Source organism: Homo sapiens, chromosome 17 (genome assembly GCF_000001405.40).
Source record: "Homo sapiens chromosome 17, GRCh38.p14 Primary Assembly".
Lineage (NCBI taxonomy): Eukaryota > Metazoa > Chordata > Mammalia > Primates > Hominidae > Homo > Homo sapiens.
In genome coordinates this window covers 20,976,026-20,990,063 of record NC_000017.11, presented here as the reverse complement: position 1 = coordinate 20,990,063, position 14,038 = coordinate 20,976,026, and the positions used below count along the sequence as shown (strand labels likewise).

General features: G+C 53.0%; 1 protein-coding gene and 1 long non-coding RNA gene across 22 annotated transcripts in view; both read right to left on the bottom strand.

Annotated features, from left to right (window-relative positions):
* LOC124900389 (uncharacterized) overlaps window positions 1-14,038 on the bottom strand; it is a 61,221-nt gene that overhangs the window by 9,723 nt on the left and 37,460 nt on the right. For all 13 annotated transcript variants that reach the window (XM_047437235.1, XM_047437240.1, XM_047437233.1 and 10 more), the window contains one exon: window positions 8,440-8,577. The gene's annotated coding sequence lies outside the window, so the exon portion shown is untranslated. The remainder of the gene's footprint in view (window positions 1-8,439; window positions 8,578-14,038) is intronic.
* Window positions 7,707-14,038, bottom strand: part of LOC339260 (uncharacterized) — a 43,792-nt gene continuing 37,460 nt past the window's right edge. For 5 of the 9 annotated variants that reach the window (NR_160714.1, NR_160718.1, NR_160716.1 and 2 more), the window contains one exon: window positions 9,715-10,380. This is a non-coding gene — a long non-coding RNA (uncharacterized LOC339260). Of the gene's footprint in view, window positions 8,578-9,714; window positions 10,381-14,038 lie in introns of those variants that run through there. The other 4 variants (NR_123730.2, NR_160717.1, NR_160721.1 and 1 more) reach the window with 1 other exon arrangement.

Here is a 14,038-nt window from a genome sequence, read left to right as displayed (position 1 = left end):
TTATGATCACTACAGGGCCTCTCCCTCCAGTTCTAATCTCATGCCAATGCACTGTTCCTCTGTCCCCCTTCCAGGTCCTTGTCATCTCTGGTTCCCATTATTGCCAGAAACAGCCTTTCATAGGACCCCTGCTGCCATCACCATCATCCAGGAGCAACAAGGGGCTCTCCCCACAGCCCTGCTCTGACCCCTCTTCCAGTGGCTGCCCCTCCCCCCAGCAGGACATCGGCCTCCCAGCCTCACACATGGAGCCATCACCTGGTCCCTCCTGGTGCCATCTCCAGCCACCCATGAATCCTTGCTCTTCCCAACTCAGTCCTTAGCAACCCTCACGTGGAGGAACAGTGTTGTGCCCTTGGTGCTCCTCCTCCTCCTCTGCCGGGCAAATGAGCAGCCCCCAGTCGCTGAGGCAGGCTCCCTGTCCCCTTAGGGAGACACAGATGCTCCCTGCACCTACCCCCAAGCCTGGACAGGGAGCTCCTCGCGTCAGCCTGGAGTCGTCACAACAGAACCCCAGGCCAGTCTCCTCTCCTGATCAACATCTCAAGCCATTTTCAGTCCAGCTTGGGAGCCTGCCCCTGCTCTCCCCACGAAGCCCAATGTGTGAACAGCAGGTGGGTTTTATTAAATGTTCATATGTATGAATCCCTCATAAATATTTGGAAATAACAGCAACAGGTGGGTTTTATTAAGTGTTCATAATATGTGTGAATCCCTCATAAAAATTTGGGAATAACTAAAAAAAAATTGATTCTACCCATCCATGAGCATGGGATGTGTCTCCCTTTGCTGGTGTCATCTGTGATTTCTTTCAGCAGTGTTTTGCAGTTTTCCTTGTAGAGGTCTTTCACAGCCCTCTTGCTGTGTGCGTGGAAGGTCTTTCTGTGCCCTCTTGGTGAGCGTGTGGAAGTGTCTCCACCTTCAAAGGAGATCTGGGGTGGGGTCCCTCCTGCTTCTGTATGTAGAGTGAACCCCACACTCCCACAGGCTGGGAGCCCCAGAGGAAGGGATTTAGCCCAGCCTTCAGCACAGAGCCCCTCACAGCCTTCCCTGCTCCTAGCAGCACCTGTAAGTGCTGTTGCCTCTGCCTGGAACCCCCTGTCCCCACTGTGTGGTTTCAATATGGTTGCTTTTTTTTTTTTTTTTTTTTCAGACGGAGTTTTATTCATCACCCAGGCTGGAACGCAATGGCCTGATCTTGGCTCACTGCAACCTTCGCCTCCTGGGTTCAAGTGATTCTCTTGCCTCAGTCTCCCAAGTAGCTGGGATTTCAAGTACCTACCACCACGCCTGGCTAATTTTGGTATTTTTAGTAGAGACGGGGTTTCGCCATGTTGGCTAGGCTGGTCTCAAACTCCTGACCTCAGGTGATCCACATGGCGCAACCTCCCAAAGTGCTGGGATTACTGGTGTGAGCCACCGCGCCTGGCCCATGGTTGCTTTTTGAATGAGCAGTTCCAGTGCACAGAGCACGTGATCCCCTCAAAATGTATTCTCCCAGATTATCCTCACAGCGACTGCATGAGGTGAACAACCTCAGCCTCACAGAACCGACAGTCACTTGCTCCAGGCTACACACCTTGTAAGGGACATAACTAGGGGCCTGGCTCCACACTCCACACCCCTGCCACAGCCTGCCCTGTCCTCCTTGGGGAAGCCTTCCCCTTCCCCATCTCACCTGCAGCTGGGTTATGTGGCCTCCGTGCACTGAGAGGAATGTGTCACCTGCGTAACTCGTCCACTGCTTGGCCTTCCACAAGGTGGTGAACTCCACCAGTCTGGGACAGGACCTGCCTTACTGTCTTCCCTCCCCACGCACAACAAGCCCACCACAGTTCCAGGTCTCACTAAGGAGTGGCAGTTCTCAGTGGGAAACCTGGAGTCGGGGTGAGGTGGGGTCTGGCAGGGCTGGAGACGGGACAGCAGAATTCAGGGAGCCCACGAAGGGGCCAGAGGAACAGGTCAGCCCTTCCAGCGTGTGCAGCTAGACAACTTGGTCACATGGTGTTCTCTGCTCCCTGTCCTCAAATAGGTCTACCTCTGGGTCCCCTCCCCTGGCCATGTAGCTCTGTACTTCGTGTCTGCAATCCACAGCAAGCTCCCCTCCTGCCCCACCAGCCCATGCAGGCATCAGAGGTCAGAACAGACCTTAGCCCTGGGCCCCTGGAGAAACACAGGGCTGGGCAGTGACAGTCACAGAGCCACCAAAATCCACGCCATGGCACAAGTGTGGCAGCTGATGTGGGGTGAGGTGTGGTAATGCCGACCCTACTGGCACCAACATGTCCTCACACAGCCCCCACGCTCACAGCCTGGGGCTCCATCCCTGAAGCCAAGATGAGGATCTGATGTTCTGCCCAGTGCCCTCTGGGAAGGGGGCTTGACTGGGGGTCACACACAGGAAGTGGCTAACCTTGTCCCAGGGGCAACAGCTCACGCCCAAGGAACACTAGCCCTGTGGATGCCACTGGGTCATTTTGCGGTTGCAGAGGGGACAAACTTTGGAACCCACAGACTGTGCTCAAATCCCAACTCAGCTGTGCATTCTCTGTGACTGTCAGCGAGTCACTCCAAATTTGAGACTCAAGTCTCTTGATCTGTGAGGTGGGTAAGGATGAACCAAAGGGGAATCCATTGCACTGCAGGTGAGAAAGGTTCCAAGTTTGGCGGGAAGTTTCAAATGCATCACTGGATGCAGGGAAGGTGTGCAGGTGGCCAGACACCAGGGCGGCAGGCATGGCCCCTCGCATCTGTGGCTGGGCTCAGCCCCTCTGTATCCACACCCCCTCTGTGTGAATCTGTGCTTCCTCTCAGGAGAGGCTGTGTTAGAGCAAAATCCAGGTAGTGAGCATAATACCTGATTGGTAGTTTTTCAGCCTTTGGCCCCTCCCTGCCTCCCCCCAAGTAGGCCCCAGTGTCTGTTGTTCCTGTCTTTATGTCCATCTGTACACAATGCTTACGGTTCCATTTGTAAGTGAGAACATGCGGTATTTGGTTTTCTGTTCTTGCATTAATTCACTTGGGATAATGGCCTCCAGCTGCATCCATGTTGCTGCAAGGAACATGATTTTTCTTTTCATGGCTGTGTAGTATTCCATTGTGTGTATGTACCACATTTTCTTTATCCAATCCACCACTGATGGGCACCTAGGTTGATTCCATGTCTTTGCTATTGTGAACAGTGCTGTGACAAACATACGTGTGTATGTGTCCTTTTGGTAGGATGTATTATTTTCCTTTGGGTCATACACACCCAGTGATGGGATTGCTGTGCTGAATGGTAACTGTTTTAAATTCTTTGAGGAATCTCCAAATTGCTTTCTTGTGGCTGAACTAATTTACATTCCACCAACGGTGTATAAAGTGTTCATTTTTCTCTGTAGCCTCACCAGCATCTGTTGTTTTTTGACTAACAATAGCCATTCTTTTTTTTTTTTTTCACTGTAAAGGACATATCATATTTATTCATACACATGCTGGAATTATTGGTGCAGACATTTAAATACATTTTCTTTGAGAAAGTCCTTTTTTTTTTTTTTTTTTTTGATGGAGTTTCCCTCTTGTTGCCCAGGCTGGAGTGCAATGGTGCAATCTCAGCTCACAACAACCTCTGCCTCCTGGGTTCAAGCAATTCTCCTGCCTCAGCCTCCCAAGTAGCTGGGACTACAGGCATGCACCACCACGCCCAGCCAATTTTTTTTATTTTTAGTAGAGACGGGGTTTCTCCGTGTTGGTCAGGCTGGTCTTGAACTCCTGATCTCAGGTGATCTGCCCGCCTTGGCCTGCCACAGTGCTGGGATTACAGTCGTGAGCCACCACAGCTGGCCTGGGAAAGTCCATTCTTTTTTTTTTTTTAATTTATTTTTTTATTGATAATTCTTGGGTGTTTCTCACAGAGGGGGATTTGGCAGGGTCATAGGACAATAGTGGAGGGAAGGTCAGCAGATAAACAAGTGAACAAAGGTCTCTGGTTTTCCTAGGCAGAGGACCCTGCGGCCTTCCGCAGTGTTTGTGTCCCTGATTACTTGAGATTAGGGATTGGTGATGACTCTTAACGAGCATGCTGCCTTCAAGCATCTGTTTAACAAAGCACATCTTGCACTGCCCTTAATCCATTTAACCCTGAGTGGACACAGCACATGTTTCAGAGAGCACAGGGTTGGGGGTAAGGTCACAGATCAACAGGATCCCAAGGCAGAGGAATTTTTCTTAGTGCAGAACAAAATGAAAAGTCTCCCATGTCTACTTCTTTCTACACAGACACGGCAACCATCCGATTTCTCAATCTTTTCCCCACCTTTCCCGCCTTTCTATTCCACAAAGCCGCCATTGTCATCCTGGCCCGTTCTCAATGAGCTGTTGGGCACACCTCCCAGACGGGGTGGTGGCCGGGCAGAGGGGCTCCTCACTTCCCAGTAGGGGCGGCCGGGCAGAGGCGCCCCTCACCTCCCGGACGGGGCGGCTGGCCGGGCAGGGGGACTGACCCCCCCCACCTCCCTCCCGGACGGGGCGGCTGGCTGGGCGGGGGGCTGACCCCCCAACCTCCCTCCCGGACGGGGCGGCTGGCCGGGCGGGGGGCTGACCCCCCAACCTCCCTCCCGGACGGGGCGGCTGGCCGGGCGGGGGGCTGACCCCCCCACCTCCCTCCCGGACGGGGCGGCTGGCCGGGCAGAGGGGCTCCTCACTTCCCAGTAGGGGCAGCCGGGCAGAGGCGCCCCTCACCTCCCGGACGGGGCGGCTGGCCGGGCAGGGGGGCCGACCCCCCCCCACCTCCCTCCCGGACGGGGCGGCTGGCCGGGCGGGGGGCCGACCCCCCCACCTCCCTCCCGGACGGGGCGGCTGGCCGGGCAGAGGGGCTCCTCACTTCCCAGTAGGGGCGGCCGGGCAGAGGCGCCCCTCACCTCCCGGACGGGGCGGCTGGCCGGGCAGGGGGGCCGACCCCCCCCCACCTCCCTCCCGGACAGGGCGGCTGGCTGGGCGGGGGGCTGACCCCCCCACCTCCTCCCGGACGGGGCGGCTGGCCGGGCAGAGGGGCTCCTCACTTCCCAGTAGGGGCGGCTGGGCAGAGGCGCCCCTCACCTCCCAGACGGGGCGGCTGGCCGGGCGGAGGGCTGACCCCCCCACCTCCCTCCCGGACGGGGCGGCTGGCCAGGCGGGGGGCTGACCCCCCTACCTCCCTACCGGACGGGGCGGCTGGCCGGGTGGGGGGGCTGACCCCCCCATCTCCCTCCCGGACGGGGTGGCTGGCCGGGCTGAGGGCGGCCGGGCAGAGGCGCCCCTCACCTCCCGGACGGGGCGGCTGGCCGGGCGGGGGGCTGACCCCCCCACCTCCCTCCCGGATGGCACGGCTGGCCAGGCGGGGGGCTGACCCCCCCCACCTCCCTCCCGGATGGCACGGCTGGCCGGGCGGGGGGGCTGACCCCCCACCTCCCTCCCAGATGGGGCGGCTGGCCGGGCGGGGGGCTGACCCCCCCCACCTCCCTCCCGGACGGGGTGGCTGCCGGGCGGAGACGCTCCTCACTTCCCAGATGGGGTGGCTGCCGGGCGGAGAGGCTCCTCACTTCTCAGACGGGGCAGCTGCCGGGCAGAGGGGCTCCTCACTTCTCAGACGGGGTGGTTGCCAGGCAGAGGGTCTCCTCACTTCTCAGACGGGGCGGCCGGGCAGAGACGCTCCTCACCTCCCAGACGGGGTCTCGGCCGGGCAGAGGCGCTCCTCACATCCCAGATGGGGCGGCGGGGCAGAGGCGCTCCCCACATCTCAGACGATGGGCGGCCGGGCAGAGACGCTCCTCACTTCCTAGATGTGATGGCGGCTGGGAAGAGGCGCTCCTCACTTCCTAGATGGGATGGCGGCCGGGCGGAGACGCTCCTCACTTTCCAGACTGGGCAGCCAGGCAGAGGGGCTCCTCACATCCCAGACGATGGGCGGCCAGGCAGAGACACTCCTCACTTCCCAGACGGGGTGGCAGCCGGGCAGAGGCTGCAATCTTGGCACTTTGGGAGGCCAAGGCAGGCGGCTGCTCCTTGCCCTCGGGCCCCGCGGGGCCCGTCCGCTCCTCCAGCCGCTGCCTCCCGGGCGGCGCTCGCCGGCGCGGCGGCAAAGACTGAGACAGCTCCGCTGCCCGCTGAACTCCATCCTCCCGGCGGTCGGGCGGCGGCGGCTGCCAATAGCCATTCTTAATTGTAGGAGATGGTCCCTCTGTGGCTCACAGAGATATTTTAAGGACACATTTCAGAGGCATTGCAGGAGAGTGGATAAGAACCCACATTTCAGAGCCTACCTTGGCTGTACCACTTGCAGGCAGTGTGGTCATAGCCTCTCCATGCCTCAGTTTCCTCATTTCCAATAAAGGGAAAATAACAGTACTGACTTCTTAGGGTCGTTGGCAGAGTTGAAGTGCCCAGCACAGCACCTGGCACATACTAAATGTCCACTTAATGGAAGGCTTGAGTAGAATACTCATTTGAGCCTCTTCACAAAGTAAATACACACCTGTCCTTGTGTCTTTGACAGAGTAAAGGACGGACCTAAAAGACCACGGAGTTGGAACCTCGAAGAAAACTCAGATGGCCCACATGGGGCCTCCCCTACTCTGGCCCTGCCCTATCCCAGGGCTCAGTGAACTGCACAGAAACTGATACCTCCACTCCTGGCACACTCAGCCCAGCAGTGGTGTCCTTGAGGCTTTCTGTGACCTCCTCCCCTCCTCAGTGGTCCCAGTATGGCTGTTGCAGGTGGTGCCTGAGCGCCCCAGACCGCTGACCCTCCCTGCCTGACCTCACACCCCACCCCGCCCCCACCCAGGACTCAGTCTTCCCCGCTATGTTTCCCACCTCTGCTCATGCTGTCCTCTCTTCCAGGCACCCTTCCCCTTCAACTGATTTCTGCATTCTGTGGCCTCTTAACAATCTGCCTCTGATGGTGCTTCCTCCAGGGACACCTCCCTGCTACCCCCCGCCGCCAGCTGAAGGTGGTCTCTCCCAACTGTGGCTTTTTTTTTTTTTTTTTTGAGACGGAGTTTCACTGTTGTTGCCCAGGCCGGAGTGCAATGGCGTGATCTTGGCTCACCATAACCTCTGCCTCCTGGGTTCAAGAGATTCTCCTGCCTCAGCCTCCCCAGTAGCTGGGATTATAAGCATGTGCCACCACGCCTGGCTAATTTTGTATATTTTTTTTTTTTTTAGTAGAGACAGGGTTTCTCCTTGTTGGTCAGGATGGTCTCGAACTTTCGACCTCAGGTGATCCGCCCGCCTTGGCCTCCTGAAGTGCTGGGATTACAGGCATGAGCCACCACGCCCGGCCCCAACTATGGCTTTCTACCTTGACACACAATCATTTCTCCCATTAGATGATACTGTCCTTGAAGGGCCACACCAGATTCCTATTTCCATGGGGCTGGAGCACTCCATCTATGTTTGTGGGATGAATCAATGAATGTTCTAATTCATTAATGGGTAACGGTTCAGGGTATGATTTAGGAGTCAGAGTCCTGGGTTCAAACCCTGACATCTTCACTTTTAAGCTGTGTGATCTTGGGTAAGTCACTCAGCCTCTCTGAGTTCCCCTCAGCAAGTATTCATGAAGGACTTACTATGTGTCAGGCACTGTGCTAGGTTCAAGTCAGACATGGTTCCTCCCCTCAGGGAGCACCCAGTCCAGTGGCTGAGTAGATGTGAAACACATACACACAAAAGAACAAAACAGCAAATTGTGGTAAGTTCTATCAAGGAAAAAGACAGATTATGAAAAAGAACAGCAAGCAATGGATAGTTTTCAAGACAATCAGGGAAAATTGGATATGGCCTGAATATTAGATGATGTTAATAAATTATTGCTGGCAGTGATAGGATATTTGGGTTATGTTTTACAGATCTTTATGGCCCAGTATCTGCAGGTAAAATGATATGAGGTCTTGGCTTTGCTTTAAAATACACAAGCCAAAACAACTGGTTGGGAAAGTACAAGGCAGAATTTAAATGATTTGTGAAGCTGGTAATGGATGAGGAGGGCATCATTGTGCAGTCCTCTCTATGTATATGTGTGGTAAGTTCTGTAATTAAAAGTTTCAAAAGAAAGTAACACTAGCAGTACAAAGGAGGGCCCAGTACTACTGTGTGGTCAGAGGAGACCCCCGATGTTTGGGCCGAGACCTGAAAGTTGGGTAGGAGGGAGCTGAGGGAAGATGATAGAGAGCATGCATTCCAGGCAGCGGGAACAACATGTGCAAAGAACCCGAGGCAGGGAAGAACATGGCATGTTCGACACTGAAAGGAGGCAGTGTGGCCAGAGCAGGAAGGTGGAGGGATAAGAGGTGCCACACTGTACATCTCCTCCTGCCATCCTCTCCTCAGCCACCTGACTGTGGGGCCAGAGGGTGCTCTGGGGACAGGCGTTGGGGGTGATCACACTGTCCCCTGGGCTCAGGTCCCAGAACTCACCGCAGGAGGCTGCACAGGTGCGCTGGCTCTGATGGTTGCAGATGGCTTTGCAGGACATGCAGGTGCCTAGCAGAGCAGCCCAGTACTGCTCTTCAGGGCAGGATCTCATAGCCAGCCCTGCTCACAGGCCCTGTGGAGCTGAGAGACCAGAAGCGTGAGGGCAGCTGGCAGGTGGTCGCAGCCCAGCCTCTTGCTGTCCACTTTCCCATAGACATAAGTGCTGTCTCAGGAGCAGAGAGGGCAGAGAAAGCTGGCTTCCAACTCCCACTGTGCTGGCTGGAGGCCTAGGGCAGCCACCTCCCCTCTCCAGCCTCAGTTTCCCTATCTGCAAATGGTTTGCAGGCCCCCTGCTCTCTCACATCAATAGTGCCCTGCTGGGCCCTGCCCCTTGCCCTCCTTAACGTGCCGCTCCTCTCCCTGCCACAGGGTCTTTGCACCTGCTGTTCCCTCGCATGACGTGCCCTTCTCCCCAGCCCCTGCCCCTCAGCTGCTTATTCCTTCTCAACCTGAGACCTCTGTCTAAACCTGATCTCCCAGGGAAGCCTTTCTGACTTGCCCCCTAGACTAGGACACGGTCCTTCTTCTACACACTCGCACTGCCCTTTACCTGTTGCTGTGGTCACTTTCCTTCTGTGCGTGTGGTTATTTGATGCTGGCTCCTACACTAACTGTGAGCACCATCTGGCAGGGACTGTGCCTAATTTTTCTTATTAATTGCTGAGTCCTCAGAACCTAGATAGTACTTAGGACACAGCACCTGCTCATTAAGTGAATGGTTTCTTTAAGTGCGGACCAAGTCAGTGCCTAGCACACAGCAAGAACCAAGAAATGTCAATTTCCTTTCCATTTTCTTTTTTACTAAAGTATGAAACAACCACAATGATGTGTGTAAGGTGCACAAAAAGCTGAAGAATACAGCTTGGTGAAATTTGATGTATGTATGCACCTGTGTCTTTACAGCCCACATGGAGACGTAGGACATTTCCTCACCCCGAAGACTCCCTGGGGTCCCCTCCTACCCAATGCCCACTCCTAGAGGCAGCTACTGTTCTGTTGTTACCCCCATAGGTTAATATTGCCCCTTCTGGAACTTCCGTGTCTGGTTTTGTCCCTCCACGTGGTGCCTGAGACTCATCCATGTGGGTGCTCTCTGTGTGTCTGGTTTTGTGTTACTGTGAGTCTTCCACTGTGTGCATGCATCACCTTCTCCATCCTTTTCTGATTTCATGACATTTGCTTCCCCCAACAACTTCTCCTTAAAAATGTTTAAAAGCATTTTGCAAGGCATGTGTTTGTCCTTTAATGAAAGCAAACTGAGGGAAGACCAGAGGTGGCTGGGCACCATGGCTCTTGCCTGTAATCTTAGCACTTTGGGAGGTTGTGGGAGAATTCCTTGAGGCCAGGGGTTCAAGACCAGCCTGGGCAACATAGTGAGATCCTGTCGCTACAGAAAGATTTTAAAATTGGCCAGGTGCTATAATCCCAGCAATTCAGGAGGCTGAGGCTGGAGGATCGCTTGAGCCTGAGAGTTCAAGGCTGAGGTGAGCTATGATCACATCACTGCACTGCAGCTTGGATAACAGAGCGAGACCCAGTCTTTAAAAAAGAAAAAGAAAAAAGACCAGGTGCCTCCCATTTAACACGGCAGCTTAAACACAGGGGTTTATCTTCCTTTCCTCCTGAAACCAAGCTAAGCTGACAGTCAAGTCCATCTGTCTTCAGAGATAAAGGGAATGGCAGAGGTTTCTACAGCAGGGAACACAGGTCTCCAACATTGTGGGAGATGGAAGGACTGGAGTGCCTGATCGCATCTGAAGATCTCTCATTGTTGATGCCCACAGGGGAAGGAAGTTGTTTTGAGTCACAGAACTCAAGGAAGTCTCCAGAACTGGAAGCACCAAGTATCTCTGACAGCAGGGGCTGGGCAGGAGGCAGGAAGCTCTGAAAGAGGATTGGTTGAAAACTTACATAAAGAGGGCGTGACCACAGCACATCCCCATTCCAAGGCAGGTGCCAGTCCCTCCACCCGCCCGGGCATAACAGTGGGGTCTCCTTGGACACAGCTGAGGGTAGCAACGTGGTCCTTCCTGGCAACAGGGAGACTGTGAAAATCTTCCTCTTGGATGGTCAGTCTCCCCTCTCTTCACTCACCCCAGCCCCTACCTAAGGAGTACGGCAACCAGGTTTTTAAAGACACCTGCCTTCCTACCCTGAAACTGGCAGGAAATCAGAAGTCTCTGCTCTGGGAAAACAGACCCAAAGGAAAAGACCCAGAGGCACTGACAGCGGGAGATTCTCTCCAGAAAATGTCCAAGTCCCTGCCTGATCCCACTGGAGCAAAGCTTCTACACGAGTGAGCCCATCTGCTTACCCAGAACTTCCAGGCAGCTGTCAGTGCCTCAGTCTGACTTGTGAACCAATGGCCAAGGGTCACCTGATATGGGAGCACTGCCTCTAGCAGGAAAGCAAACTCAAACCAAACAGAAGGCAGACACCTGGTGCCAACGAAGACACGCAGGAAACAGAAGAGCATTTTAAAACAAGAGCAGCAAGAGTTGAGATCCCCAGAAATATAAGAGAGGATTGTGTATCTAAGAAACAAAACAGCAGACTATTGTAAAGGACGTTCGTAGAACAAATGAGAATTATAAGAAATTATTTTATAGCCAGAATAAAAATATCAGTAGAAAAGCTCAAAGATGTAATTGAATAATTGTTCAGAAAACAGGAGACAAAAGATACGAAATTATGGAATCATTTCAGGAACTCCAAAGGTTGACTAATGATGTGAAGGACATTGGCTTCCAGACTGAAAGAGTCAATCAAGCATCATTGCAATACAGTCTCAAATACTAGCATACATTATCATGCAATTTAGGAGCACGTAATCCCAGCACTTTGGGAGGCCGAGGTGGGAGGATCATGAGGTCAAGAGATTGAGACCATCCTGGCCAACATGGTGAAACCCCGTCTCTACTAAAAATACAAAAATTAGCTGGGCGTGGTGGCATGCACCTGTAGTCCCAGCTACTCGGGAGGCGAGGCAGCAGAATCAGTTGAACTCGGGAGGCAGAGGTTGCAGTGAGCTGAGATCGTGCCGCGGCACTCCAGCCTGGAGATAGAACAAGACTCCATCTCAAAACAAAAACACAAAAGCAAAAAAAAAAAAAAACCCCACACTCTTAAAACTCAACAACAAAAATCCAAACAACACAAGTCAAAACTACCCAAAAGGCAGCCGGGTGTGGTGGCTCACACCTGTAATCCTAGCGCTTTGGGAGGCCGAGGCAGGTGGATCACAAGGTCAGGAGCTCGAGACCATCCTGGCTAACATGGTGATACCCTGTCTCTACTAAAAATACAAAAAAATTAGCTGGGCATGGTGGCGGGCGCCTGTAGTACCAGCTACTAGGGAGGCTAAGGCAGGAGAATGGCGTGAACCTGGGAGGTGGAGCTTGCGGTGAGCTGAGATCGCGCCACCTCACTCCAGCCTGGGCTACAAAGCGAGACTCCATCTAAAAACAACAACAACAACAACAACAACAACAAAACTGGGCAAAAGGCTTGAATCAGCATTTCTCCAAATAAAACATTCAAGTGGTCAATAAGCACATGAACAGATGCTCAATGTCATTATTCATTAGGGAAATGCAAATTGAAACCACAATGAGATATCAGTTCACACCCATTAGGATGGCTATTATAAAAAAATGGAAAATAAGCAGCTTCAGCGATGTGAAGAAAGTGGATGTGAAGGCACTGCTCATGGGAATGTATAACAGAGCAACAGCTGTGGAAAAGTCTGGCAGTTCCTCAAAAAGACAAACATAAAACTACCACATGACCCAGTAATCCCACGCCTAAGTAAATATCTAAAGGAACTGAAACAGGGATGTGAACAGATACTTGTGCCCCAACATTCAGAACAGCATATTCACAACAGCCAAAGGTGGAAACAGCCCAATCGTTTATCAGCGCATGAATGGATAAACAAAATGTGTTACAGGTACGCGGAGGGATACTATTCAGTTGTTAAAATGAATGGAATACTTACACATGCTACGACATGGATGAACTTGAAGATATTATGCTAAGTGAAATAAGACAATCATATAGAGACAAATATTGTACAATTCCATTTACATGAAGAAAGTAGAAGAAGCAAATTCATAGAGTTAGAGAGTAGAACAGAGATTACCACAGGCAGAAGTTATTAATGCGTACAGAATTTCTGTCTGGGGCGATAGAAAAGTCTTTGGTATCGATAGTGGTACTTGTTCATGTACTTAATGCCACTTTACTGTACACATCATAACGATTAAAATGGTAAAAGTACAGCTCAGGTGTGGGCAGTATTTACATCATCATAAATAAGTGAGCTATCTGTGGAATTATTTCTTCTGTAAAATTGTTTACTCACTGTATGAGCCATTAGGCCACCGTCAATGAACGAAGGCAAAAACAGGCTTTCTAGGAGAGAGGAAGGAGAGGGAAGAGAACTAAACTGCAGAGGAGTTGACATTCTGGAGCAGAGCTGGCAGCCAGCAGGTCTGCCTTGACTCCAGCTGAACACGCACCCCTCCTTCACTGGGGGCCTGGGGAAGGGAGGCTGCATGCATGCAGATAGTGACGTCCAAGTCCTCACCTTAGAAAGTAGGAAATCAATCCAGAGCGTCTAAAATGGACAAGTGAAGGACCAGCATGGGGAGTGGACCAGTTTCTGAGCCTTTGGGGATGAGCCTGGGGAAAGCCATGGGGCAGCCCTGCTTGGGAACCCTGGACTGTGCATCACGTGCCTGGTACTCCTGTGTGTGTGACCCTGGGCACAACTTCCCCTCTTGGAGACCCAGCATCCTCCCCTGTAAAATGAGGATGCTGTTGCTTACTGCACAGGGTCATTGTGAGTAGCATATGCATGGCAGGTGCCTAGCATGGTACTAAGCATGTTAGTAAAGGTTTAACCTCCTGAGCTGCTACCCTTATCAATACTGCCACTCTCTGTGATACAGAATGCTGTGCTGGACAAGGCCCACACCTGCACTGAGGAAACAAAAATTTAGGGGCCAATTCCTGTTGGCGTGAGCCAACTCCATCTTTTCCTCCTTGGTGGGGAGGGGTCTGTGCAGGAGTTTGGAGCAGGGTTGGGGGGAGACGTCAGCTCCTTGTTCTTGCCCTTTACAATTTCACCAAGAAAACCTGCAGATGTGACTGGAAAAAGACAGTAAAGCTTGGCAGATAGGAGGAATTTCTCACTCAATCCTTCAAGCAAACACTGAGTGCAAACTTGGGTTGGGGGCTATGAGCTGAGCTCATCAATGAGGTGGGCACAGGAGAGCATTCCAGTGTGACGACACGGCATGTGTGCCTGGATGAGGCTGCAGCCTGAGACCTGGGCGACGTGCATGGGAATAGATGACGACTTTACAATCTGGTTTCTGTTAATCAGGAAGGAGAGGAAGGAGGAAAAAGAGGAGAAGGAGAAGGATGAAGAGGAGGAGACACAAGGGTGGAAGAAGGAAAAAAGAGGAGGACAGATGAGGAGGGGGAAGAGGATGATGGAGGAGGAGGAAAAGATGCTTTTGGTTTCTGTGAGCTGTAT